Source organism: Homo sapiens, chromosome 13 (assembly GCF_000001405.40).
Source record: "Homo sapiens chromosome 13, GRCh38.p14 Primary Assembly".
Classification (NCBI taxonomy): domain Eukaryota; kingdom Metazoa; phylum Chordata; class Mammalia; order Primates; family Hominidae; genus Homo; species Homo sapiens.
In genome coordinates, this window is record NC_000013.11 from 49,660,111 (window position 1) to 49,687,835 (window position 27,725).

The window sequence follows — 27,725 nt, forward strand, 5'->3', positions numbered from 1 at the left end:
GTAAGAAAGGCAAGCACTGAACAAGTTAACGTAAGTACCTGCTCCCCAGCCACCACAGAACTGCTAATTCATCTCCCAGACGAGTGTTTTCTGAAACGCAATGTAATCACGAGTCCCTCTTGGTGCTGAGGGTAAGTGCCAAATTGGTGCTTTCCTTCTCTCAATTCTGTAGAAGGTTAGGGCATACATTTTGCATATTTATTTCATGCTCATCTTATTTCTCTCTCACTCTCCCTGTGTTCCTATTTCCTGATTTACTTTTCATCATAATGTATTATGTATTTCTGCAAGGCATCTCCAATCTTCCTCCTTGAAAAAGGACAAATATAAATCAATCATCTCTCTGCATGGGGCCCCAGTGTTTACCCATTTACTCAGGAGGAGTCAGCTCACTCACCAGCTCCTATTTGGGTTCACAAACTTTAAATAGTATAAATATAAAAACAGAAGCTTTCAATTCATTTCTGGTTTCACATTGGTAACCAAAAAAGACTGGTGAGAAGATTAAAAGATGAGGCAAGAACATTTCCTTTGGAATAAAAAATTAATATAACACTGCAGTATTCTAAGATAATTGGTTTTACTAATGTGGAACAATTAATGCCAGCCATAAAATGTATAATTAAACATTTTATTATTACAAATTCAAATTTGTTCTCTTTTCCCTATATCACCATTTAATTGAACAACAATACAACGAAAACTGGTCGCCTTAAAACCAATTTGAAACAGGTTGTTCAGGAGCAACAATACAAAAACAAAGTGTAGACTGGAATGTATTACATTTTGGCCAAACAAAAAGATTTGATTCATTCTGGTTCATGAAGTTAGATAATGGTGTTTATGGTTTTGAAAGTTCACTGAAACTTCTTCACTGAACTGGTTTCTTTCTGATGCATTTTCTTGAGTTCTAGCCATGACTGCCACAGTAGCAGTCCTGGGATCAGAACCCACACACCGTTAAAAAAAAACAGGTAAAGCCAACAGTACAGCCAGTTGCTGGTGTTGAGGTTGGGGCTTCTGGTGAGCCACTCTGGGAGGAAGGTCATCCAGCAGCCATACAGCTCGCACACGCACAGGGTGATCTGCAGGAAATGCCTGTTGGAGAGAAAGAAGCCCGGGATGAACCACCAGCTTGGCACAGTTTGGCATCAGAGTCATGACATCTTGTCTGTAATGGCGGCATCAACAGTCTTCGCTATGAAAACCGTCCTAAGTTGGGCCTCAGATGTTGGGTGGTGCTATTTTGATGGGGGCAAGTCAATCTAATTAATGAAGGCTCATTCTTTCCTTAGAGGAGCAACACTGCCCTTTCTAGATTATTCTCAGAGTTAAGTAAGGACCCTCAGGGATCCTGACCCATTCTTGGGGAAATTTGGTGAGATCACACCTGACTTAACACAGAGAGGCCTGACTCTGAATCTCACCATGAGCCATTATAAAAGGGGAGAGTGAGTAATAACCCCTTCCTCAAACAGTGTAGTGCAGACTAAATGAGATATGAGGATAAAGGGCCAAGCGATGGGCAAGTAAAAGGCTCAATAATGCAAATATCACAAATGTTTAAAATAATAAACACATGGGCACACGTAGTAAGTTTGCAACCAGCGTCATGGAGTGAAAAATACGTCAAGGTACCAAGGAAAAATTTAATTTTTATTGCCAACTATCTCTCTAAAATTGGGTGGGGAAGGAAGCTTTAAATAAGACTTCTTCATTACAAGATGGTGGAAAATGGAATGCAGCTGTGCCTACTTGAAATTGTTTTAGGGATTCATCTCAGGATAGCAATCTATTCACCCCAGGCCACTCTGTCCCTAAGGAAAGAAAAGGAAGGAAGGGAGGAGAGTTTATAGTCTCTGAGTCTGATAGGATGGATAATTTTTTCATCCTTTTTTTTTGAGACAGAGTCTCGCTCTGTCACCTAGGCTGGAGTGCAGTGGCACGAACGTGGCTCACTGCAACCTCCACTTCCCAGGTTCAAGCAATTCTCCTGCCTCAGCCTCCCGATAGCTGGGACTTACAGGCACCCGCCACCGTGCCTGGCTAGCTAATTTTTGTATTTTGAGTAGAGACGGGGTTTCACCATGTTGGCCAGGCTGGTCCTGAACTTCTGATCTCGTGATCCACCTGCCTCGGCCTCCCAAAGTGCTGGGATTATAGGCATGAGCCACCGCACCTGGTCTCTCTGCACTCCGCCTGCCCCATATCCTTCACAATCTGCTTCTGAGAAGATTTCCTATTTATCTTGCAAGTCTGACTCCAAATTATATAAGATAATTTACTTTTTGTCAAGTGGGACAGGAGTTTTCTTGAATGATTTGGGGGGAAAAGGATGGACGTATTATGGTTTTATTCTCCAAAGTATTGGTGGCAAATCATCCAAGAGCGTTAGCACCATTCTTGCCTCTACAGAGTCTAGGTTGTTATTAAAATAATATTTCTCATATTTTTGATTCTGAAAAGTCTGAAATGATCCTAGTAGCACCATCACCCTTATCTCACATAAAATAATTTTCATTTCTCTTCTGCTTTTTTTTTTTGGAGACAGGGTCTATGTCACCCAGGTTGGAGTGCAGTGGCGTGATCATGGCTTACTGCAGCCTTGACCTCCTAAGCCCAAGTGATCCTCCCACCTCTGCCTCTTAAGTATCTGGGACTACAGGCGTGTGCCACCACGCCTAATTTTTAAATTTTTTATTCCTTGTAGAGACAGGGTCTCATTGTATTGCCTAGGCTGGTCTCAAACTCCTGGGATCAGGTGATCCTCCCGCCTCAGCCTCCCAAAGTGCTGGGATTACAGGTGGGAGCCACCGCGCCCAGCCTCTATTCTTCCACCTTTTATCTAACAAATATATGTGGTCACAACCTACTCCAAAGGTCACCTAAGTGTTGGGACATGTAATGTCTCCCCTCCTTCCAGCAGGACAGAAGAAGGGCACCTACCGGTAATATTTTTCTTTGACTATGGCATAAATGAGGAACAATGCCAGAGACCCATCCAGGGCGACGGTCAGAATTTCCACAGACACAATGGTTGGATCAAAATAAACCCATCTTGCATCAGCTTTGCCATATTCTTTCCCTAAAGACAAAATCCATGTTGTTACTCAAATGGCAACAATTTTTATGACAGTTCATGGAAATGACCTTTCTTTCCTTTAAGGTGGAGATAAAATGAGTAATCGCCACTCTCTCTGCATTCTTCACGATGCCTTAGTGGAAGGCAGGAGAAGCCCTGGGACCAAAATGCGTTTACCACCTGACACAAGCACTGAGAACAGCAGCAGGTTTACAGGTGTCCAATCATTCAGTTTCCAGCATGCTTTCACATACACGCCCTCCTCAGCCCCACCCTCTTCAACATAAGTAGCAGAATTTTAAAAGAATTCAACATGGTCAGATTTTGCAAAGACAATCTCCAGTCATGATCTTGGTAAATACATTGTAATTCCTTACTTCAAAATTTCCATATAAATTCTGTAAGTATAATGGAGATGTGGGAAATTTGTTATGAAGGACATGTTTATAAAAAACACGTTTATGGCCAGGCACGGTGGCTCACACCTGTAATCCCAACACTTTGGGAGGCCAAGGCGGGCAGATCACGAGGTCAGGAGATCGAGACCATCCTGGCCAACATGGTGAAACCCTGTCTCTACTAAAAATACAAAAAATTAGCCAGGCATGGTGGCGGGCACCTGCAGTCCCAGCTGAGGCAGGAGAATGGCATGAACCCAGGAGGCGGAGCTTGCAGTGAGCCGAGATTGCGCCACTGCACTCCAGCCTGGGTGACAGAGCGAGACTCCGTCTCAAAAAAAAAAAAACAAAAAAACAAACAACCAAAAACTTGTTTCTTGGCCAGGCACGGTGGCTCACGCCTGTAATCCCAGCACTTTGGGAGGCCAAGGTGGGCGGATCACTTGAAGTCAGGAGTTTGGGACCAGCTCAGCCAACATGGCGAAACCGTGTCTCTACTAAAAATACAAAAAGTAGCTGGGCGTGGTGGCGCATGCCTGTAATCTCAGCTACTTGGGAGGCTGAGGCAAGAGAATCGCTTGAACCCAGGAGGCGGAGGTTGCAGTGAACCGAGATCGCACCACTGCACTCCGGCCTGGGCAACAAGAGCTAGACTCTATCTCAATACAACAACACGTTTATTAATAACAGAAGAGAAACTAGGTGCTGAAGGGACAGTGGGCAGGGAGGGGAGGAGAGAGCCCAGACTGCAGAATGAATCGGAGTGGGCAGAGGGGCATCTCCGCCCACAGGGACAGGGAACTCACAATGGCTCTCACACAGTCTCAGCTGTGCTGCTTGGGGAGCCAGTGTGCTCTCAGAGATCCATCCAGACCCATTATCAGAGTGGTTTCTTCTCAGGAACACCATGACTCAGAAAGTCTTTTCAGGGCTGGAATGATGGCCAGGTATTATGGAGGCCATTAAAAATTATTTAATTACTTTCTTAATTTGTAAAAGTAATACATGCTGGTCCTAAGATCTCAAATGATTACAGTGAAAAAATGGAAGTGATCACACCTCGTCTCCCCCTTTAATACTGCCTCGCATTATTCAGAAAAGGTGTGAAGTCCACAGAGGAGCCTGTGATCTGCTACTGAGCAGCACACAGCTCTTGTCTCATAAAGACCAGAGGAAGGATCCCTCAGGGCCTGGGACAAAGGTTTCTAACAAAAGGCTGTCCTAAGAGAAAGGACAATAAGAGGATTAGCTATTTAATGGGATAACACACAAGGCACATGCTGAGGGAATGTTCTGTGAGAGGCCACCGAGAGTCATCAGCCTGTCCTTAGCTGACTGTCTGCAGTCTCCTGTGCCCTCCAATAACTAACTGGAAAACAATGTCATATTGAAACGTTTCTCCTCTAAATTTAAATATACATACAATAGGTGAAATGTACCAGTTAGTGCACCTAAAATCTAATAAAATATCACCTAAGTAAAATGTCAGTTCTTTAGGAACAAAAAGAGATATTGACCAAGTCTTTTTTTTTTTTTTTTTGAGAAGGAGTCTCACTGTTACCCAGCCTGGAGTGCAATGGCATGATCTCGGCTCACTGCAACCTCTGCCTCCCAGGTTCAAGTGATTCTCCAGCCTCAGCCTCCCAAATAGCTGGGACTACAGGCACCCACCACCACACTCAGCTAATACTGACTGACTGAGACGGAGTCTCACTTTGTCACCCAGGCTGGAGTGCAATGGCCAGATCTTGGCTCGCTGCAACCTCCGCCTCCCGTGTTCAAGCAATTCTCCTGCCTCAGCCTCCCAAGTAGCTAGGATTATAGGCACTCACCACCATGCCCGGCTAATTTTGTATTTTTAATAGAGATGGGGTTTCACCATGTTGGTCAGGCTGGTCTTGAACTCCTGACCTCAGGTGATCCACCTGCTTTGGCCTCCTAAAGTGCTGGGATTACAGGCTTGAGTCACTGCACCTGGCCTAATTTTTGTATTTTTGGTAGAGACAGGGTTTCACAATGTTGGCAAGGCTGGTCTCAAACTTAACCTCAAGTGATCCATCTGTTTTGGCTTCCCAAAATGCTGGGATTACAGGCGTGGGCCACCGTGTCCAGCCTTCAACAAGTCTTTTTTTTTTTTTTTAAGCATTTGGAAGGTGTTATGGTAGGCCCTGATAATGCAGCTGCAAGTAGGACCATGTTGGCCCTTAGTGGCCCACATCCTAGTGAGGCTGAAAACCAGGCAGTAAGTGGCGGTTAGCGAATATGAGGGCAGGGAAGAAGTGGCACTGAAGCCAGACTACGAACTTCAGGGAAGACTTCCTGGAGGAGGTGTTTTGATCACTGCCTCTCTTCCCTGTTGGTGAGGGATGGACTTCTGCCTGAGGGCTATGGTGATGGCTGAACACACAAGACCCGACACTGGGCAGATGAGATGGAGGAGGTTTATTAGTTGCACACACTGTGGCCCGGGAAAGGAGGACATCTCGCCATGCAGGGCCACATAGGGGTTGCACCTGGGAACAGTGTTCGGGCAGGGGCCACGCAGGCAGGCTTTGCAGTAACAAGAGGAGGGGGTGGGATGAGCCCTGGTTCCCCACAGAGGATGTGATTGGCTTGTCTGGATAATTCCACAGGCAGACTGGTGGGAACTGAAGCCTGCTACTGAGGGGACAAGCATTTGTCCCCTCCAAATCTGTGCCTGCTCCCCTTGATAGGGAGAGCTATCTGGTTAGGGAACCTTATATGTGGAAGCAGAGTGGGGAGGGAGACTTGCAGTTTGGCCATCTGAGGCCCCCCTGGATCTTACCAGGTATCAAAGCAGACATAATACTGAATCCCAGCCAGGGAGGGTGGCTCACACCTGTAATCCCAGCATTTTGAGAGGCCGAGGCGGGTGGATCAGTTGAGGTCAGGAGTTTGAGACCAGCTTGGCTAACATGGTGAAACCCTGTCTCTACTAAAAATACAAAAAATTAGCCAGGCGTGGTGGTGGGCGCCTGTAATCCCAGCTACTCGGGAGGCTGAGGCAGGAGAATGGCATGAACCCAAGAGGCGGAGCTTGCAGTGAGCCGGGATAGCACCACTGCAGTCCAGCTTGGGCGAAAGAGTGAGACTCCGTCTCAAAAAAAAAAAAAAAAAAAAAAACAAAAATTAGCTGGGCGTGGTGGCGCACACCTGTAGTTCCAGCTACTTGGGAGGCTGAGGCAAGAGCATCACTTGAACTGGGAGGCAGAGGTTGCAGTGAACTGACATTGCGCCACTGCACTCCAGCCTGGGAGACAGAGCGAGACTCTGTTAAAAAAAAAAGAAAAAAAAAAAAGGCAGACATAATACTGAATCCTAATTTCAGGCCTTATACCACAAGAGATGACTCCAGATCTGAGTGGAAAATAAGGGTGTTTCAGGGAGGAGCATGTGCAAAGGCCTGGAGCTGAGAGGTAGCGTGTCTGAATCTACAGACAGTTTAGCAGAGCTGATGGTGGGGGAAGGTTAATGCGTGAGAGGAAGGTAGGGGACGGATAGTAAGGGGCCCTGGAATCCACCAGTCCCAGCGCATCTCCCTGTGGCATCTCCCTCTGGCAGTCCCTCTGGCATCTCCTCTACTGCTAAACTTTAACCATCTCTTTGCTTATTAAACACTGAAACAATAAAAAGGCAAACAGGAGCATTAAAAAGCCTGACGATGTGATCATTTCCATTGATTCTGTGACTGATAACTGGACTTAGGTGAGGTTTACAAGGAAAAGATGCAAACTAAGGGTCGGGGTAGATTTCCTCAACCAGAGCCATTGTTGTGTCCTCAACCAGACAGTGGAGACCAGGAGATGCTGAGTATTCATGAGGTTTATGGCTGGCCCTGCATCCCAGTGAAGCCAAGGTCAGAACACAGGTCATCATCAGAAGGTCCTGCCCTAGACACACGGTATCAGAATCTGCATTTGAGTAAGATTCCCAGGTGATCTGGGGCACTTTGGAGTCTGGGAAGTACTACTTGCTTTACATTATCTACTGGATTTTTACTTTCATGAAAATAAAGGACACCTTCAATAAATGAGTTTTTACTGCGTTTTGGTTTTTAGAAATACGGTCTTACTGTGTTGCCCTGGCTAAATTCAAACTCCTGGGCTCAAATAATCCTCCTGCCTCAGCCTCCCAAGTAGCTGGGGCTCCAGGCTCGTGCCACTGCACCCAGCTAGTTTTCACTTCTTTAAGGTGCATAATGTAAACGTGAAGATGATAGAGAAAGCCTGTGTTAGACATTTGCATTTCATGGGATTGAGCCAAATCTGGGCTGTTTGCTTTCTCTCATGCCAGGCAGGGCAGCCAGGGGAGGAGGTGTCAGCATGGCATCTGGCAAAGGGGAGAAGAGGACACTCAGCAGGGAGGAGCCATGACTCAGGCTGGGGTCCGTCAGCCTCTGGGCTTCACCAGCAATCCCCAGGCAGAGTTTAATGCAGCCAATCAAAAGTGCATAGCTGCATTCAGCTGAGCCCTGGATCTGAAGTGGCTCTACTCTGGTCAAGGGGGCTCAAACTCCTTGGCTAGGACTTGAGGCATCAAAGATGACACCTTTTCCTTTGGGAAGTACTAATGAGCCTACTCAATTCTCTAGATGTTTCCTAACACTAGTGGTAAACAGGAGTCCCCCACACAGATCCTAGCTGGAGATGATTTTAGAGTCACAAAGAAATGAGATATATGGGCCAGGCGCGGTGGCTCATGCCTATAACCCCAGCACTTTGGGAGGCCGAGGTGGGCAGATCACGAGGTCAGGAGATCGAGACCATCCTGGCTAACATGGTGAAACCCCGTCTCTACTAAAAATACAAAAAAATTAGCTAGGCGTGGTGGCGGGCGCCTGTAGTCCCAGCTACTCGGGAGGCTGAGGCAGGAGAATGGCGTGAACCTGGGAGGCGGAGCTTGCAGTGAGCCGAGATGGTGCCACTGTGCTCCAGCCTGGGGGACAGAGCGAGACTCGCCTGAAAAAAAAAAGAAAAAAAAGAAATGAGATAAATGATGCAAAGTTTCAGAAGCAAAACCTGAAAGCAGTTATCCTGAGAAAGGCAGTTTTATAAAGTGGTAAAAAAAAATACCTGTTGGTATTGACACAGTACATGGTAGAATATCAATGCTAATTGAATATTGACTGACAATGAGCATGAAGACTTTTGGAAAGGATCTACAAGACCACAAATATATATGTACAATAAAAAGAAAGTTGATATTAAAAGTATGGGAAAACCACCCAGTTTAAACCCCACAAGCTCTTCCATCTGCACTCACTACCAACATTTTTTTTTTTTTTTTGAGAGGGAGTCTTGCTCTGTCACCCAGACTGGAGTGCAGTGGCGTGATCTCGGCTCACTGCAAGCTCCACCTCCTGGGTTCACGCCATTCTCTTGCCTCAGCCTCCCAAGTACCTGGGACTACAGGGGCCCGCCACCACGCCCAGCCAATTTTTTATATTTTTAGCACAGACAGGATTTCACCGTGTTAGCCAGGATAGTCTCCATCTCCTGACCTGGTGATCTACCTGCCTCAGCCTCCCAAAGTGCTGGGATTACAGGCGTGAGCCACCATGCCCGGCCATTCACTACCAACATTTTTTATTTTATGTATTGTTTTTTAGAGATGGACTCTTGCTCTGTCGCCCGGGCTGGAGTGCAGTGGTGCAACTGTGACTCAATGCAGCCTTGAACTCCTGGGCTCAAAAGATTCTCCCGCCTCAGCCTCCTGAGTAGCTGGGACTACAGGTGTGCACCACCACACCTGGCTCATTTAAAAAACTTTTTTTAAAGATAGGGTCTTGCTATGTTGCCCAGGCTCAAATATTGTTTAATATAATAGCTTTATTAAGATGTAATTCACATGCCACACAATCTACCTATTTAAATAATTGGTTTTAGTAGAATCACAGGTTTGAATCACCACAATCTAATTTTAGAACATTTCATTACCCCAAAAAGAAATCCGTGCCCATTAGCAGTCACTCCTCATTTCCCCCCAACACCCCCACCCCTACCCTCATTCCCACGCAACCAGTAATCTACAGTATCTCTACAGACTCACCTATTCTGGACATTTCATATAAATGAAGTCATACAGTATATAATAGAGGCGTTTGACAGTCACACTTGCAATAAACCTCCTCCAACATTTCAAACGCAAACGTTTTTAATTACTTACATAAAGAAGCAATCAAGCCATCGGAATTTGCAACGTTTCCTACTAAAGACAAGTAGACAAAAGGGCCTTCCTAGAGAGGAGAAAATGAAGACATGCTCTAATACAGCATCACAACCACAGGATGGCACTGTAGACACATGGCATTGCCTGGCTCCATCCCCCACCCTTCTCCATGGCTCACATCCTGGCCACAGCCTGGAAACATCCATACAACCTTGTGGGATACAATCTTGGGACCTGGTTACCTGGACCTTGGAAATGGGTATGTCTCACCCTAATGTACAATTAATGTTGTTTTTCAATGATTGGCACTGTAAAAGCAGAGATGTGTTCTTATGTGGAAAAAGTGAAATTTTTGCATAAGAGTTTAACTACTGTATTAAATAGAGTAAGCTCTAGATTATTCCAGGGATCTTAAGTCTTTGCGGAGAACCCCACAGAAGTTCACTTTTTTTTAACTCAAAAAAATCTAAGATCTTAAAGAGAAAGGCAATCAAGTTTATACCAGCATTGAGCAATCCTCCCCCCTTCTCCTATATAAGGGCAAGTTTAGGAAGATTTAAAACAGTTACAGGCTACATTTAACATTCAGGTAATAAAATATCTGCAATTACAGTTAGTATTTTCCCATCACTGAAGTGCTTCTTTGCCTAAGATTTCTAAAACTAAACAGCTAGAAGCCACTGGGATATGTAATTGTCATGTTGCTCCTTTGAACAAATTTTGCTGCTGGTCAATAAAACTTTTTTCTCATTCCTTTTAAACAATCATTTGTATGACATTAAAACTGGGTCCTGCCACCCCAGAGGTCACCACTCTCAATCACATCTCTTTGCAGTTCCCGCGGTGATTTCATAATATACTTACACTGCTATTTCCTTCGACTACTAGCAGGAAAAGCTATTGTTTGATTGATACTCCTTCCTCTCCCGTTTCCAGTCCTTCGAGTTTCTGATATATTATTCTATTACTTACACAAATTTGTAACTTAAGTAAAAAAACTGAAAACCTCAGCTCACTCACTCATCAATTTTGTGCAGTCTCTGGGCTTCTAAACCACGAAAGAGTATGACAGCCTCTACCAGGCTCCCCGCACCCTGTTCCCAACTCTCAATTTCTGTCCAGTTTGCTTGTGCATTGTTGAGACTGATTACATGTCCTTTCTTGTTCTCTAAACATATTTGTTTTCCCTGTTTTATCTGTAACTGGATTCTAAAAGCTGAAAAAGCCAATTAACAGCATTTACAATGTTGTGATTATGGAAACAGCGTTCACTGTAATGGGCCACAATTTCTTTCCTTAGGGATCCCGTATCCTGACTCCTGTGTCATTTAAGGATAATGCTGCAAATGAAGTATCCTTTGTTTTCTTTTTCTGAGATAGTCTCACTCTGAAGCTGAAGATAGGCTGGAGTGTGGTGGTGCAACCTCAGCTCACTGCAACCTACGCCTCCCGGGTTCAAGCGATTCCAGTGCCTCAGACTCTCAAGTAGCTGGGACCACAGGCGTGTGACACCACATTCAGCTAATTTTTGTTATTTTTAGTAGAGATGGGATTTCACCATGTGGGCCAGGCTGGTCTTAAACTCCTGGCCTCAAGTGATTTCCCCACCTCGGCCTCCCAAAGTGCTGGGATTACAGGTGTGAGTCACCGTGCCAGGCTCCAAAAATCATATCCCTTAAAGGACATTAAAAAAATCATATGAGAAAAATAGCTGTGTTTTTAACAAATAAGTACTCCCCAGTCCACTTACTTTGCAACACTTTATTTTTACCAGCCAATTTTTTATTTTTAGCAGAGCCATAGGGTGAAATCCATACCACTTCCTTGCTCTGGCCTGAGAACTTTCTACACAAAGCACATCCACTGGGCTGGCCAGTGGGGCAATGGGGCTGGACTGGATTTGACCCTCTCTAGGCCTCAGGCCATCTATCTGTAAGATGAAGGACTTCCTTCCTATAGATTGTAAATCTCATCCTAAAACGAAATGCAACCTCCACTGGCGACCTCTTTCACTGGACCCATTAGTAAGATGTGGAGTCTGACACCAGGTTGCAGACCTTTCCACAGAAGCAACTCTGGGTAAGAGCAAGATGGGGAACTGGAAATCAGTAACATGCAGGAACCTATGAGTCTATAACAAATCCGTTTCCTTTTACATCTACTTGTTGAAGCTCTACTCATTTTTCAAATCCCAGCCCTAACCCCCTTCTTCAAGAAACCTTCTTTGACCTCCTAGTGAGAATTAATATCTCACTCTCCTAAATCTCCCATGTGGCTAAGTTTGTTTCTGTAACCAGCAGCTATCTGCTCGCTATGGACCCCCAGCTCCCATTGGATCACACATCATTGGGATCTGGAATACTGTCATCTCTACCTTAGAATCCCCAAGAAACATGACATTTGTGTTCCGTGTTTGCTAACCTTGAATTAAGTTCATACAACAAATTACTTATAAAGAAGGATGCCCTGAAGAGGCTTTTAGACTGCCCTATCTCTTACTGTATTAATGTCCTAAATGTAAAGATAGTATAATACATATCAAGTGTAACGAATATTCATGCCTTCAAATGCTGATCAGGTGTCACCTCCTCCAGGAAGCAAGATTTTACTATTCTCCTGCTGGGAGGTCAGTGCCCTCCTACACAGAAACTTGCTCACTTGTCTCTTCCCAAAACTGCCAGTTCTCTGAGGGCCAATTCTTTCTCTTTTATCTCTGTATTGCAAATGGCTAACACATAGAACATGCTAATAAGCGTTTCCTAAAAGAGTAAGAAATAAAAGGGATAATAGAAAACAAGACAGTTAAAAATAATAATAACAATAATAATAATCTGGTTAGAAGATGGGCAAAAGAAATGAATAGACATCTCACCGGAAAGTACATAAAGATGGCAAATAAGCACATGGAAAGATGTTCAACCTCATTAGCCACCAAGGAAACACACCTTCAAGCCACAGTGAGGTATGACTGTATAAACTATCAGAATGGCTAAAATAAGGTTGGGTGTGGTGGTTCACGCCTGTAATCCCAGCACTTTGGGAGGCCTGGGCGGGCGAATCACGAGGTCAGGAGTTTGAGACCAGCCTGGCCAACATGGTGAAACCCCACCTCTACTAATAATACAAAACAATTAGCCGGGTGTGGTGGTGTGTGCCTGGAGTCCCGGCTACTTAGGAGGCTGAGGCAGGAGAATCGCTTGAACCGGGAGGCAGAGATTGCAGTGAGCCGTGATTGTGCCACTGCACTCCAACCTTGGCGACAGAGTGAAACTGTGTCTCAAAAAGAAAGAAAAGGAAAGGAAAGGAAAAGAAAGGCTAAAATAAAAAATAGTGGCAACATAAAAAAATACTGGCAACATCGAATACTGGTGAGGATGTGGAAAAACTGAAACAAACACAGATTTCTGAAGGGATAGAAGCGATACAGCCACTAAAAAAAACCAGAGTTTGGCAGTTTCTTCTAAAACTAAATATGCAATGACCATACGACCCAGCAATTCCACAGTTGGGTATTTCTCCCAGAAAAATAAAAACTTATCATCTTTATACAAAAACAACTACACGAATGTTCATAGCAGCTTTATTTGTGGTAACTAAAAACTGATGTCCTTCAAAAAGCCAATCCCAAAAGCTTACATAATGGTTACATTTATTTTTATTTCTGTATTTATTTTTTGAGACACAGTTTCACTCTGTTGCCCAGGCAGGAGTGCAGTGGCTCGATCTTGGCTCACTGCAACCTCCACCTCCCATGTTAAGGGATTCTCTTGCCTTAGCCTCCCAAGTAGCTGGGATTACAGGAATGCACCACCACGCCCACCTAATTTTTGTATTTTTAGTAGAGATGGGGTTTCACCATGTTGGCCAGGCTGGTCTCGAACTCCTGACCTCAAGCGATCCACTCGCCTCAGCCTCCCCAAGTGCTGGGATTACAGGCTTGAGCCACCATGGCCAACCCTGTGGTTACATTTATATAACATTTTTCTGAAATGATAGATTTTAGAAATGGAGGACATTGTTAGTGGTTGCCAGGGGTTAAGGGATGGAGGTGTGGGGTGGGGGGATGTGTAGTTATAAAAGGAAAACACTAGGGATCCTTGTTAGTGCTGGAACTATTCAATACCTGGGCTGTTGTGGTTGATATATGAATCTACCCAGTTGATACAATTATATGGAACTTAATACACACACACACACACACACACACACACACCACACAAAGAAACTGACAGTCTGAAAAAGATCAGTGGACTGTATCAATGTCCATATGATGGTTATATTATACTATAGTTTTACAAAATTTTTGGTACCAAAATTATCAAAATAGAAAATAACTTTTTCTTTTTTTAGACAGAGTCTTGCTCCCCAGGCAGGAGTGCAGTGGTGCGACCTTGGCTCATTCAACCTCCGCCTCCTGGGTTCAAGCAATTCTCCTGCCTCAGCCTCCCAAGTAGCTGGGGTTACAGGTGCCCGCCACCATGCCTGGCTAATTTTTTGTATTTTTAGTAGAGATGGGGTTTCGCCATGTTGGCCAGGCTGGTCTTGAACTCCTGACCTCAGGTGATCCACCTGCCTTGGCCTCCCAAAGTGCTGGGATTACAAGTGTGAGCCACTGCACCTGGCTGAAAATAATTTTTTAAAAACCCACCAAAATGTTAGCATCGTGGAAACCTGGGAAAAGTAAACAAGGGACCTCTGTATTATTTCTTACAACTGTATGTGAATCTACAATTACCTCAAAATAAAAAGTTAATTAAAGAAACAGAGAAAGACATGGGAGAAAGAGTACCATGACTAAATGAATGGGCTTTTTTTTTTTTTGGCAACTGTCAGGACTTAAAAAAAAAAATTTAGAATAGGCCAGGCTCTGGCCTCAGAGAGCTTATTGTCTAGTTGGATAACAATGACTTCCAATTCAATAAAGGATGGAGGAAGATGAGGGAGCTGTAGCTGAGGCAGTGAGGAAAAATTTCAGAGGGAGGCAGGCTGAGAGGTAGGAGGACAGGGATGGAGCCCAGAGGATGGTGTGAGGCCCGTGGGTCCAGCTTTTGCCCTGCTCAGCCCTGTGGCACAAACAGTAGTGCTCAGGGGTACTGTGTACATTAACAATGTGTGCAACCATCGCCACCATCCATTTCCAGAACTCTTCATCTTCTAAAACTAAAACAATGTGCCCACTAAACACTGATTCTCCATTTCTTCCCTCTCTCAGCCCAACACCCAGCACTCTATTTTGTGCATCTATGAATGTATTTTAGGTACCTCGTGTAAGTGAAATGAGACCAGTCATGCTAAGCCTCACAACGGTGATACGCTCTGAGAAATGCATCATTAGACAGTTTTGTCATTGTGTGGACATCATAGAGTGTATTCACACAAACCTAGGTTGTGTAACACTTACCTCACACGTAGGCTATATGGATAGCCTTTTGCTCCTGCGTTACAAACCTGTACGGCATTACTGTACTGAATACTGTAGGAAATTATAACACAATGGTATTTGTGCACCTAAACACAGAAAAGGTAATGCACTGCACTACAACATTATGACAGCTATGATGTCTCTAGACAATAGGAATTTTTCAGCTCCATCATAATCTTATGGGACAACCATGGTATATTCAGTCCCTTATTGACTGAAATGTCCTTATGCAGTGATGACTGTATTTGTCCTTTCATGTCTGGGTTATTTCACTTAGCATAGTGTCTTCTAGGTTCATCCATGTTGTAGCATGTGTCAGAATTTCGTTTCTTTTTAAGGCTGAATAATATTCCACTGTATGCAGGCACTGCATTTTGTTTATTCATTTGCTGGTGGACATTTATGTTGTTTCCATTTTGGGGTTATTGTGGCTCATAAGTCTGCTGCTATGAACACTGGTTTGCAAGGATCTGTTGGAGTGCCTGGTTTCAATTCCTTTGGGTGTATATGTAGAAGTGGAATTGCTGGATCTTAAGATAAATGTTCAGCTTTCTGAGGAGTTCCCACACTGCTTTCTGCAGCGCTGGCACCATTTTGCATTCCCACCAACAGTGCACCACAGTTCAAACTTCTCCACATTCTTGGCCAACACTTGTTATTTTCCTTTGTTGTTATTGTTTTTTTTTTTTTAATAGTACTCATCCTAACGGGTGTGAAGGAGTATCTCACTGTGGTTTTGATTTGCATTTCCCCTAATGACTGACTAGTGATGCTGAACATATTTTCATGTACATATTGAGCTCTTTGGAGGAATTTCTATTCAAATCCTTTGCCTACCTTTGAGGTTTTTTTTAATTGTTAAGAATGTAAGTTTTAAAATGGAGATATCATCACTTGGAATTTGAAACCACTGGGCTAGACTGCCCCATGGGCAAGATGAACCAATAATTCTCAAAGCATTTGGTAAAGCAGAGCAGGGGCCATTTTCATAAGAATCTGAGAACAAGATCTGCCCACTCATCATGAGGGCAAGGGGTCTGCAGTGAATCTTGAGCCCCCCTCCCCTGCTGCCTGGTAACCTCCTCTTCGGTCTTTAAAACCCTAGTGAGGCCGGGTGCAGTGGCTCACGCCTGTAATCCCAGCACTTTGGGAGGCTGAGGCGGACGGACCACAAGGTCAGGAGATCGAGACCATCCTGGTTAACACGGCGAAACCCCGTCTCTACTAAAAATACAAAAAAATTAGCCGGGCGTGGTGGCGGGCACCTGTAGTCCCAGCTGCTGGGGAGGCTGAGGCAGGAGAATGGTGTGAACCCGGGAGGCGGAGCTTCCAGTGAGCCCAGATCATACCACTGCACTCCAGCCTGGGCGACAGAGCAAGACTATGTCTCAAAAAAAATAAAATAAATAAATAAATAAATAAATAAATAAGAAAGAAACCCCGGTGAATCCTTCCTTCCTCGGTGCCACCTCTAGGCCTGGACAGTCTTATCACTCACCAGACTGCATGACAATGATTTGTTTCCCTCTCTGCTTTCCCTACTATTAAAGCTCCTTAAGGGCGGGGCAAGGTTGATTACATGCAATAAACACCAAATACACATACAGTGAGATTTTATAGATAATCCCAGGCTGATTCTCCAGACTTTCCACAGCTATCCCTGAATCATGTGGTATTAGCCGGGCCACCTAATTCCTTAGTCCTTCCTAATTTTTTTTTAGTGATAGCAGAGATGACATGGGTCCAGAGGTGTGACTTGCAAAAGTCCTTTGTTGAAACATTCAGTATATTAAAAAAATGCTCTCGTTTGATTTAAAAAATAGGACCATTGCAGACATGGGCAGGTCTGGTGGGTCAGTGTGCACTGGCACTGTCTAAATAGCAGGTCATCCTTTTCCGGGAAGGGGCAGTGGTTCTACATGAGGACACTGCCCTTGTGTTTTATGTAAAAAGGAAGCCAAATAGACCAACAAACACTTGTCTTTTCTTCATGAAGTAGGTAATACACCAGTAGCAACTCCCTGATTCTTCCCTGAAACAATGCTAAGAGCTGGTATCCCTTCCCTGTATCATCACACTTGTCCACTCCCACTGCAGCCCACGTCAATCCTGCTGCATCCCACCCCAGGAAGGTCATTCAGATCAAAGTCAGAAAAAGCACATGGTGAAAAGGAGGTGAGCCTGCCAATATCAGAGTTCCAAGTGACATCTCTGAACATTCTGTGATTCTGAGACTGGCTGGCTCTTACCCTAACAGAACTCACAAATATAAATCAGCAAACACAGGCCCACCACTTTAGGCTGCACCATCCACAGCTGATTCTCATCAATAAAGACGCCATGCAAAAACAAACAAACTAGGTGTGGGAGGCAGAGGCCCCAGCTTCAGAATGAGACCTGCTATTATGGTTTTAAAGATTGTAAGGGCTGGACGTGATGGCTCACGCCTGTAATCCCAGCACTTTGGGAGGCTGGGGCAAGCAGATCACCTGAGGTCAGGAGTTCAAGATCAGCCTGGCCAACAGTGAAACTCCTTCTCTACTAAAAACACAAAATACAAATATTGTGTCTGGAATTGGTGGGTTCTTGGTCTCAATGACTTCAAGAATGAAGCCGTGGACCCTCGCGGTGAGTGTTAGTTCTTAAAGATGGTGTGTCAGAAGTTTGCTCCTTCTGGTGGGTTCGTGGTCTCACTGGCCTCAGGAGTGAAGCTGCAGACCTTCGCAGTGTTACAGCTCACAAAGGCAATGCGGACCCAAAGACTGAGCAGCAGCAAAATTTATTGCAAAGAGCTAAAGAACAAAGACTCCACAGCGTGGAAGGGGACCCAAGCCGGTTGCCGGGGCTGGCTTGGGCAGCCTGCTTTTATTCCCTTATCTGACCCCACCCACATCCTGCTGATTGGTCCATTTTACAGAGAGCTGATTGGTCCGTTTTGACAGGGTGCTGTTTGGTGCGTTTACGAACCTTGAGCTAGACACAGAATGCTGATTAGTACATTTACAATCCTTTAGCTAGACACAACAGTTCTCCAAGTCCCCACTGGACTCAGAAGCCCAGCTGGCTTCCCCTAGTGGATCCCGCACCAGGGCCGTGGGCAGAGCTACCCGCCAGTCCTGCGCCGCGCGCCGGCACTCCTCAGCCCTTGGGCGGTCAATCGGACAGGTCGCTGCGGAGCAGGGGGCAGTGCCCTTCAGGAGCGGGGGTGGTGCCGGCTCGGGCATGGCGGGCTGCAAGTTCCGAGCCCTGCCCCGTGGGGAAGCGGCTCAGGCCCGGCGAGAATTCGAGCGCAGCGCGGACGGGCCAGCAGTGATGGGGAACCCAGCTCACCCTCCACAGCTGCTGGCCCGGGTGCTAAGCCCCTCCTTAACTGGGGCCGGCAGCACCCACCAAGCCAGCGCCCACCCAGAACTCTGCCCGGGAGCGCCGTGCGCAGCCCGGGTTCTCGCCGGCGCCTCTCCCTCCACACCTCTCCACAAGCAAAGGGAGCCGCTCTGGCCGCGGCCAGCCCAGAGAGGGGCTCCCACAGTGCAGCCGCGGGCTGAAGGGCTCCTCAAGCATGGCCAGAGTGGATGCCGAGGCTGAGGAGGCACCGAGAGCGAGTGAGGCCTGTTAGCACGTTGTCACCTCTCAATATTAAAAAATACAAAAAAATAAAAATTAGTCAGGCATGGGTGGCACGCGCCTGTATTCCCAGCTACTCAGGAGGCTGAGGCACAAGAATCGCCTGAACCTGGCAGGCGGAGGTTGCAGTGAGTCAAGATCGTGTGTGTCTGTGCCTGGGTGACAGAGTGAGACTCCGTCTAAAAAAAAAAAAAGACTATTCAGGGGCTTTTGAATAAAATCTGCTCTAACCACACAAAGACCGAAGATCAAAGCCACTGAAAACACTACTTACTATTTGCCAGGCACCAAAATTATCTGTGGAATTGTAGAGAATGGAGACAGTTATAGTTCCTCCTGTGAATTCATGCTTTATATTAAATGAACTGTACAGTACTTTCTTTCTTCTCCCTTAAAATTGTTTTTAGACTCTGGGGCATGAAGTTTATGTTAAATAACCAAATAAACATGGAAGGTTATCAGCTCCAAAGTCTTTAACCACAACGTATGATAGAGATCCAGCCATCTGGAACTAAGATTCATGTTTGAGCTCAACAAGCACTGAGGATCTAAGGATCAGATGAAAGGTGCCTGGTCAACAGCAAAGGGCCACATGCAGGATGTTGCTGTAATTGGGAAGGCAGGGCTCCACTAGGTGTCAGGCGTGATATGGTTAAGCTTGAGCAAAAGCAAGTACAACAGATTGTATTTCTTTCTTTTTTTCTTGTTCTGTCACCCAGGCTGGAATCCAGTGGTGTTATCACGGCTCACTGCAGCCTCTCAGACTCCTGGGTTCAAGCAATCCTCCTGTCTCAGCCTCCAAAGTAGCTGGGACCATAGGTGTGCACCATCATGCCAGGCTGATTTTTCTTTTTTTAATTGTAGAGACGGGGTCTCGTTATGTGGTTGAGGTTGGTCTAGAACTCCTTGGCTCAAGCGCCTCCTCCCTCAGCTTCCCAAAGTGCCAGGATTACAGGTGTGAGCCACCATGCCTGGCCGAGATTGTATTTCTGACATTCATGGCTACTTTCACCTCTCCGGGCTTAAATTTCCTAACCAAGAAAAAAATAGAGTCAAGCTATATATATATATTAGTCAATATATGTCTAGTGAATGAATAAGTAATAAGGAGAGGCAGGCTGGATCTGCATCTCCACCTTTTGACAGAGTCGCTCACCAATTTCCAGCCTTGAGCACAGCACTTGGAAGATGCATGTTGCTTACTGAGAGGATGGTGAGGACCCTAAGCGGAGGCCCAGGTAGTGTCTGTCAGCAGAGGGCCAGGTTGGTGGGAGGGGCCTGCTTCAGCACCAGCACTTCCAGTGGGCATGAGCCATGAGTTCTACACCTGCCAAGACCCACGAGCCACAGGGAAGTCAAGCTCACAGCGACCACCAGGGTAGATCCCTGACTGGACATGATGAGGTCTTCGAGGACTCCTGTACTGTCATTTCTATGATAACATGAAAGGCAGGCACCTGTCCCTGAAGAAGACCTGACTTTTTAGAGACAGACTTACTCAGTACATAAACGTAAAGTGACATGAGGTCCAGATCACTTTCCAGTACTTCAGCAGTAACAATGAAAAAGGGAGGGAGAGAAGGACAAAAACAGAAGAAAAAGTGACAGATGGGCAAGTGCAGCAAAACTTGAAAATGCTGAATCTGCTCACTGATACTGTACTAGTCTCTCTACATTTGTGAATGTTTGAAATTGTTCACTGTAAAACTTAATTTTAAAAAGATACATAGGCTTATGCCTGTAATCCCAGCACTTTGGGAGGCCGAGGTGGACAGATCACAATGTCAGGAGATCGAGACCATCCTGGCCATCATGGTGAAACCCCCACTCTACTAAAAATACAAAAATTAGCTGCGCGTGGTGGCACGCGACTGTAGTCCCAGCTACTCAGGAGGCTGAGGCAGGAGAATTGCTTGAACCAGGGAGGCGGAGGTTGCAGTGTGCCAAGATTGTGCCATTGCACTCCAGCCTGGTGACAGAGCGAGATTCCGTCTCAAAAAACAAAACAAAATACAAAACAAACAAAAAAAATATATGTGATACATGTTAAAGTTAAAAAAAAATTATAAAAAGGTACAAAGCAAAGGATAAAAGCCTCTCTCCCTCCTGACTCCCAATCACGTTTCCCAGAGATGACCACTGTTAAGTTCCATGGTAGCCTTCAAGAATTTTTCAGGTTTATATTAATAAGCAGTTATAAATATTTAAAATATTTTCTCCCTGCTATGAATTTTTCTATTATTAACCCAGAGGGTGATGAGGAAAATTTCATAATACTTATTTAAGTTCTGTATATCAAAAAATTTGGTTTAAAAAATACAGTAAAGTTCCTACTGGACATATGTTATAAAATATAACTGAACTATATTTAATTGAGCTGCTAACAAAATCAGCTTAAAAATTAAAATGTATTATAGCAAATAAAGAAAGGCCAGTCTCATTTTTCTCTTAAGATGTCCCAGGCATGAAATTTTTTTCTTTTTTTAAGATGGTCTCGCTCTGTCGCTCAGGCTGGAATGCAGTGGTGCGATCTCGGCTCACTACAACCTCTGCCTCCCAGGTTCAAGCAATTCTTCTGCCTCAGCCTCCTGAGTAGCTGAGATTACAGGCACACGCCACCACGCCTGGCTAATTTTGGTATTTTTAGTAGAGACAGGTTTTCACCATGTTGGCCAGGCTGGTCTTGAACTCCTGACCTCAGGTGATCTGCTCACCTCAGCCTCCCAAAATGCAGGGATTACAGGCGTGAGCCACCACACCCAGCCCAGGCATATAAGGGTTTTAACAACGTATTTTATAGACTTAAAGACAGCTATAAGTCAAAGCTCAGATCAAACAAATGATTAAGTTATGCCAGCTATTTCCATTGATAATATCCAATTTAAAGAGCATGCTCAATTTACTCATTTTAATCCTTAAAGAAAAATTTAGCAGAAAAAGTCCTTAAAGAAATAAAAAGAACACATACTGAGGCTGAGTTTATATTTGAATGTATCTGTTTTTTTGTTGTATGTTTGAATGAAGACCTAGAGAAAACATGGCAACATTCACTTTCAAGAGTGAGAGAATGAAGTGGAGCAGGAATAGAATCAGTACATAAATCCTGTCAACATTTATTAGCATTTGCAAATCTGACTCACAAAACCTCAGCCTAATCAGACTGGATTTTTGCATGTCATGACAACAGCATACAACATTGTTTCTGGAGGGATCAGCTGCGGCAGCCTCCTACTGTCCTTTGGTGACAAGGCTTTAATGACTCCATAAATGTATGCTGCCCAGCTGCTGCCCGCTTAATTAGACGATGATTTCCACTTGATTGAACCTGCCCAGCAGCCAGTTGTCACCTAACATTCACAGGAGACCACACTGGTCTCTTTCAGAACTACCAGGATCAAACAGTCACACGAGTTCTATGGTTCCTACAACATGGCAGTATACTGTTTGATTTAGGACTTGAATCATATTTCTCCCTTTTTAAGAATATACCCTTCTCTGCCAGAAGGTTGTTACTTCTCAGATTAAAGATGTGAAAGGAAACCTTCCAAGGCTCATCTTAATTGGACATATACATCATCACTTTAGTATACAGGGATGGGATGACAAATGCTAATCCGGGTATGGAATATGGCAAGGAGGATTCACACTAAGAGGACAGAGAAGAGAATTACATTTACTGAACTCTGGCAAGTGCCAGGTGCCTTACATCTTTGCCATTCAAACACGGTTCATGAACCACAGCCTGGCACTCACTTGGGAGCTGGTTACCAATACAGAATCTTGGATGATCCCTGGATGATTTGTGTGCATGGCCAAGCTTGAGAAGCACTACGCTAAGTTATAAGGCTTTATTTAATTCTCACAGCCGTTTGAAGAAAACATTATTTCCATACTTCACAGGTAAGAAAACTAAGAAAATTTCCTTCCTTCTTTTCCTCCTCATTACAGAAAGGATTTGCAGGGGAAAGGGGCATGCCCAAGTTTCTGAGCTGGTCATCGGGAAAGCTGGCATTCAAGGGTGCATCTGCTGCATCCCAAAGGCCCTTGTTCTTTCCACCTTCCCCCACCGCCCCAGGCTCCTTGGATGATGGTCAGACTCCACCTAGAACCGTGTTTAGGAACTGATACTGCATTCATTCTTTCATTCATTCATCCATGAATTTATTGAGCTAGAGTCTCCCTCTGTCACCCAGGCTGGAGTGCAGTGGCGCCATCTTGGCTCACTGCAACCTCCACCTCCCAGGTTCAAGCTATTCTCACGCCTCAGCCTCCCAAGTAGCTGGGATTACAGGTGTGCACTGCCACGCCTGGCTAATTTTTTGCATTTTTAGTAGAGACGGGGTTTCATCATGTTGGCCAGGCTGGTCTCGAACTCCCAACCTCAGGTGATCCGCCCGCCTCAGCCTCCCAAAGTGCTGAGATTACAAGCCTGAGCTCACGCCTGTAATCCCAGCACCTTGGGAGGCCGAGGCGGGCAGATCATGAGGTCAGGAGATGGAGACCATCCCTGGCTAACACGGTGAAACCTCGTCTCTACTAAAAATACAAAAAAAATTAGCTGGGCATGGGGGCAGGCACCTGTATAGTCCCAGCTACTTGGGAGGCTGAGGCAGGAGAATGGTGTGAACCCGGGAGGCGGAGCTTGCAGTGAGCCGATCGCACCACTGCACTCCAGCCTGGACCAGAGAGCGAGACTCTGTCTCAAAAACAAACAAACAAACAAAAAAAACAAAAACAAAAACAAAAAACAAGCCTGAGCCACTGCACCCGATCTGGTACTGCATTTGAAAATGCAACCTGTGGCATGTATGAGGGTGACAAGTTTTAGTCATATACATCTATCAGAATGACTAAAAACAAAAGTAAAAAACACAAAAATGCTAAGTTTTGGTGAGGCTGTGGGGCAACAGGAACTCGCACACAATGCTAGTGGGAATGCACAACAGTACAGCCGCCGTGGAAAGCAGGATGGCAGTTTCTACTAAACTGAAAGAATCCCATTCCAAGGCCTCGGCCTAGGAGAAAGAAAAATATGCCCACACAGACTTGGATGCAGATATCTATTAGCAGCATTATTTGTAATAGTAAAAAACTAGGAATAACCCATTTGTTCATTAACTGATAAATGGATAAATGAATTGAAATACATCCATGACTGGAATACTACTCAGCAACTTACGTTAAATGAAGACTATGTATGTATGATTTCATTTTTATGAAATTATAGGACAGCAAAACTTTAAAGACAGAAGGCAGACGGGTGTTTGTTGGGGCTGGTGATGGGCACTGGGATCATCTTCAAAGGGACATGAGAAAACTTTTACTAGAAGCGTGATGGAAACGTTCTATACTACGATTGCAAGGGTGGTTACACAACTCTACACAATCACCCAAATTCACCAAACTGTACACAGAATGGGTTTTATTATACATAAATTATAACAATAAAGCTGGAGGGAGGAAAAGGGGAATTTAGAAAAGTGGCTGATAACCATACAAATATAGGTATATCTCAACAGCTTTCACTATAATAACAATAATCAGTCCAAATACAAAGGAGAGAGGCCAGGCGTAGTGGCTCATGCCTGTAATCCCAGCACTCCGGGAGGCCGAGGCAGCTGGATCACTTGAGGCCAGGAGTTTGAGACCAGCCTGGGCAACATGGTGAAACCCCATCTCTACTAGAAACACACACTAAAAATAGCTGAGCACGGTGGCACGTGCCTGTCATCCCAGCTATTTGGGAGGCTGAGGCAGGAGAACTGCTTGAACCCAGGAGGCAGAGGCTGTGGCGAGCTGAGATCGCGCCACTGCACTCCAGCCTGGGCGAACAGAGTGAGACTGTCTCAAAAAATAAAATTAAATTAAACAAAATACAAAGGAGAAATACAGTAGCAATGAAAATATAAAATGTTTTGAAATAAACTTTAAGAGACTGTAACAGAAGATTTAAACAAATTGAGACCTACCCAGTTCTTAGAAGGCAGACTGTATTATAAAGATATCATTTAATCTCAAACTAATCTATAAAGTTAAGAAAACCACAATCAAAATACCGAGTATTAGAACTTGGCAAAGTGAAATTATTTTTTATTTTTGAGACAGGATCTTGCTCTGTCGCCCAGGCTGGAGTGCAGTGGTGTGATCTCAGCTCACTGCAAACTCTGCCTCCGGGGCTCAAACGATTCTCCTGCCTCAGCCTCCTGAATAGCTGGGACTGCAGGTGCATGCTACCACGCCTGGCTAATTTTTGTACGCACCTGGTCAGCAAAGTGAATTTAAAAGTACATCTGGAAGGATAGATCATAATTTTAAAGTGTTTGAAAAAGAATAGTGGGGAGAAGTTTGCTTTATCAGATATTGAACTACATTATAGTGCTGAAATTATTAAAACAGTGGCTAGAACTGGAACCAAAAGATTCCTGAAACAGAACTAAATTCAAAAATCCCCAAACATATCCATACATATAAAATACTTTAGTATATGATAAAGCTGGCATCTCAAATAAGTGGGGAAAGAATGGATTAGTCAATAAATGGGGCTGACAACACTTTCTTGCCCTTTCTCCCCAAAAGCGTAATAAAGTGTGGGTGAAATTGTTTGTACTAATATATGAACACCTTTTATAGATCATTAAGGAAAAGACAAACATCCCCATTGAAAAACAGGCTATAGAAGGAGGATCCCAAGATCTACGCCCCAGAATCTCGTCCCAAAGCCTAGCACCAAAACAGCAAAGCAGTCCTCCTTCAAGAAAACTGAAGGCAGCTGGTCATGGTGGCTCACGCCTGTAATCTCAGCACTTTGGGAGGCTGAGACAGGCGGATCACGAGGTCAGGAGTTCGAAACCAGCCTGACCAACATGGTGAAACCGTGTCTCTACTAAAAATACAAAAATTAGCTGGGCATGGTGGCACGTGCCTGTAGTACCAGCTACTCGGGAGGCTGAAGCAGAAGAATTGCTTGAATCTGGGAGGCAGAGGTTGCAGTGAGCCAAGATCACGCTACTGCACTCCAGCCTGGGCGAGAGAGAGAGAGAAAAAAAAAAAAAGGGACAAGAATTAGAGACTGGAATTGTGGCAGTGGGCAGTGAGGAACAGACGGTGATGTGAACTGGAGAAGGGTAATGCCCAGCTTCAGAGAGGGCGTGGCACAGCCACTGGGCCTCAAGATTTCTCAACGAAAAACCATTCACAGGTGTTAGGTGGGATGCATGGAGAGCCAGCCAAGGCCCAGGTTTTCTGTGACAGCTGTGCTTCACCCTGCAGGACAAGGCTAATCAGACTACACCATGACAAAAGTGTGGAAGCAACAACCAGGCAGAGGTTTATTAGGAAACAGGTCAACCTCCATGGCCAAGCACACATCAGACAGCGAGAGCTGCCTGCCGCGTCTGCACTTTTACCCTTCTTCGGCCATCCTCTCGCCCAGACCTTCATCTTCAAAAGAACCAAGAGCCCCCAGCCTGCCCTGAGGTGCCTCTGGAGCTACCCTCCTGCTCTTCCTCCGCCCACCACCAAACCTCCTGCAGGGCTTTCATCTACTGCCCAGCTTCTCCTCTACCTGGCCTATAAGCCTTTGGCTTCTGGAGCCTCCCTCCCATCAATCCCACTCTCACCATTGACTTCCTGGTTGCCAGGTGCCTCACCTTTTATTTTCTTTCTTTTTTTTTAATGGTGCTACAGCAATTTATCAGTGTTCTTGAAATTCCATTCTGTGGATCCCAGGACCCCAGCACTCTCCTGGTTCGTGGTCTTTCCCACTCTCTCCTAGGATAGATATTTTAAAAGATTCTGCTCTTATTCCTCAGCTCTTTCACCCTTCTGTTCTCTCTAGCTCAGCAAAAGCAGTCATACCTGGGGCTTCGTGCTATCTCCCCCAACTCAGAAAAGAATTCCCAGCACTCTCTCTTCTGCCCTGACTCTGTCTCTCCAACTCAATTTACATTTTTCAATTGCCTTCTGGCCATTCTCTCTCTCTTCTTTTTGAGATGGGGTCTCACTCTGTCACCTAGGCTGGAGTGCAGTGGCGTAATCATATCTCACTGCAGCCTCAATCTCCTGGGTTCAAGTGATCCTCCTACTTCAGCCTTCTGAGTAGCTGGGATCACAGGCATGCAGCACCACACCCAGCTAATTTTTCGTAGAGATGAGGCTTCACTATGTTAGCAAGGCCTCACTATGTTAGCAAGGCTGGTCTCGCAACTCCTAGCCTCAAGCAATCCTGCCTCGGCCTCCCAAAGTGCTTATTACAGGTGTGAGCCACTGCCCAGCACTATTCTCTCTTAACTGCACACGAGGACCCCCGACTCATAGTTCTAAAGCCAGATTTTGCTGTCTTAGTTAACATGATCACCATTACCCATGTTGCTCAGGGCCTAAGCCCCAAGATCATGTCCACCCCCAATCTACAAGTGGCCACTTTGACTTACCACATTCTCCCCTGGAAAGTCTCTCACAGTTAGCTTTCCTCCCCATTTTAAGTTCCAACACCACCTCAGCTTGCCTCTCTCTTTTTTTTAAATGACTCCCCACACTACAGCAGTTGCTTTTTGTTGCTCTTCTTGCCCCTCAACTCCATCCTTTCCAATCCAACCTGCACCATGTTGAGAGACAATTCTCCATGAATATCTCACATCCTGCACTGTCTGGGTCTCTGAGCAAAGACATTTATATCAATTTTAAGAATGTTTCTATAATGAGCCTTTCCAGAGTAGTAAACCTGGGAGACAGCTCCCTCCAGAGAGGTTCTAGGGTGGTAAAGATCAAGACCTCACCTTCTCCTCCTCAGAGGTTTACATTCCTAAGATAAGGTCTCTCCAGAGAGAAGTATGGACAGGCCACCACCAGCTCACAATAAGATGGACGCGTAGTTCTGGAGTTCCTTTCTTGTAACGCATCCCACTGCATGTACAGGCAGTAACATCTGGCCTTCATTATGTTGTCCTGTGGGGTTTGGGCCTTGGGGAATCAAACTGGACTACCTTGTTAACTTCTAAGTTGGGTAAAA

At 45.1% G+C, this 27,725-nt stretch overlaps 1 protein-coding gene across 4 annotated transcripts in view; it reads right to left on the reverse strand.

Annotated features, from left to right (window-relative positions):
- Positions 1-563: 563 nt before the first annotated feature.
- The window catches only part of EBPL (EBP like), a 30,814-nt gene continuing 3,652 nt past the window's right edge, over positions 564-27,725 (reverse strand). The window contains exons 2-5 of one of the 4 annotated variants that reach the window (NR_103802.1): positions 26,365-26,485; positions 9,667-9,736; positions 2,947-3,085; positions 566-1,098 (exon numbers count right to left, since the gene is read on the reverse strand). Coding sequence is in view for 2 of the 4 variants with exons in the window: in NM_032565.5 (NP_115954.1) it covers positions 858-1,098; positions 2,947-3,085; positions 9,667-9,736 (450 nt within the window). In the remaining 2 variants the exon portion in view is untranslated. Of the gene's footprint in view, positions 1,099-1,755; positions 1,818-2,946; positions 3,086-9,666; positions 9,737-26,364; positions 26,486-27,725 lie in introns of all 4 variants that reach the window. The other 3 variants (NM_001278636.1, NM_032565.5, NR_103803.1) reach the window with 3 other exon arrangements.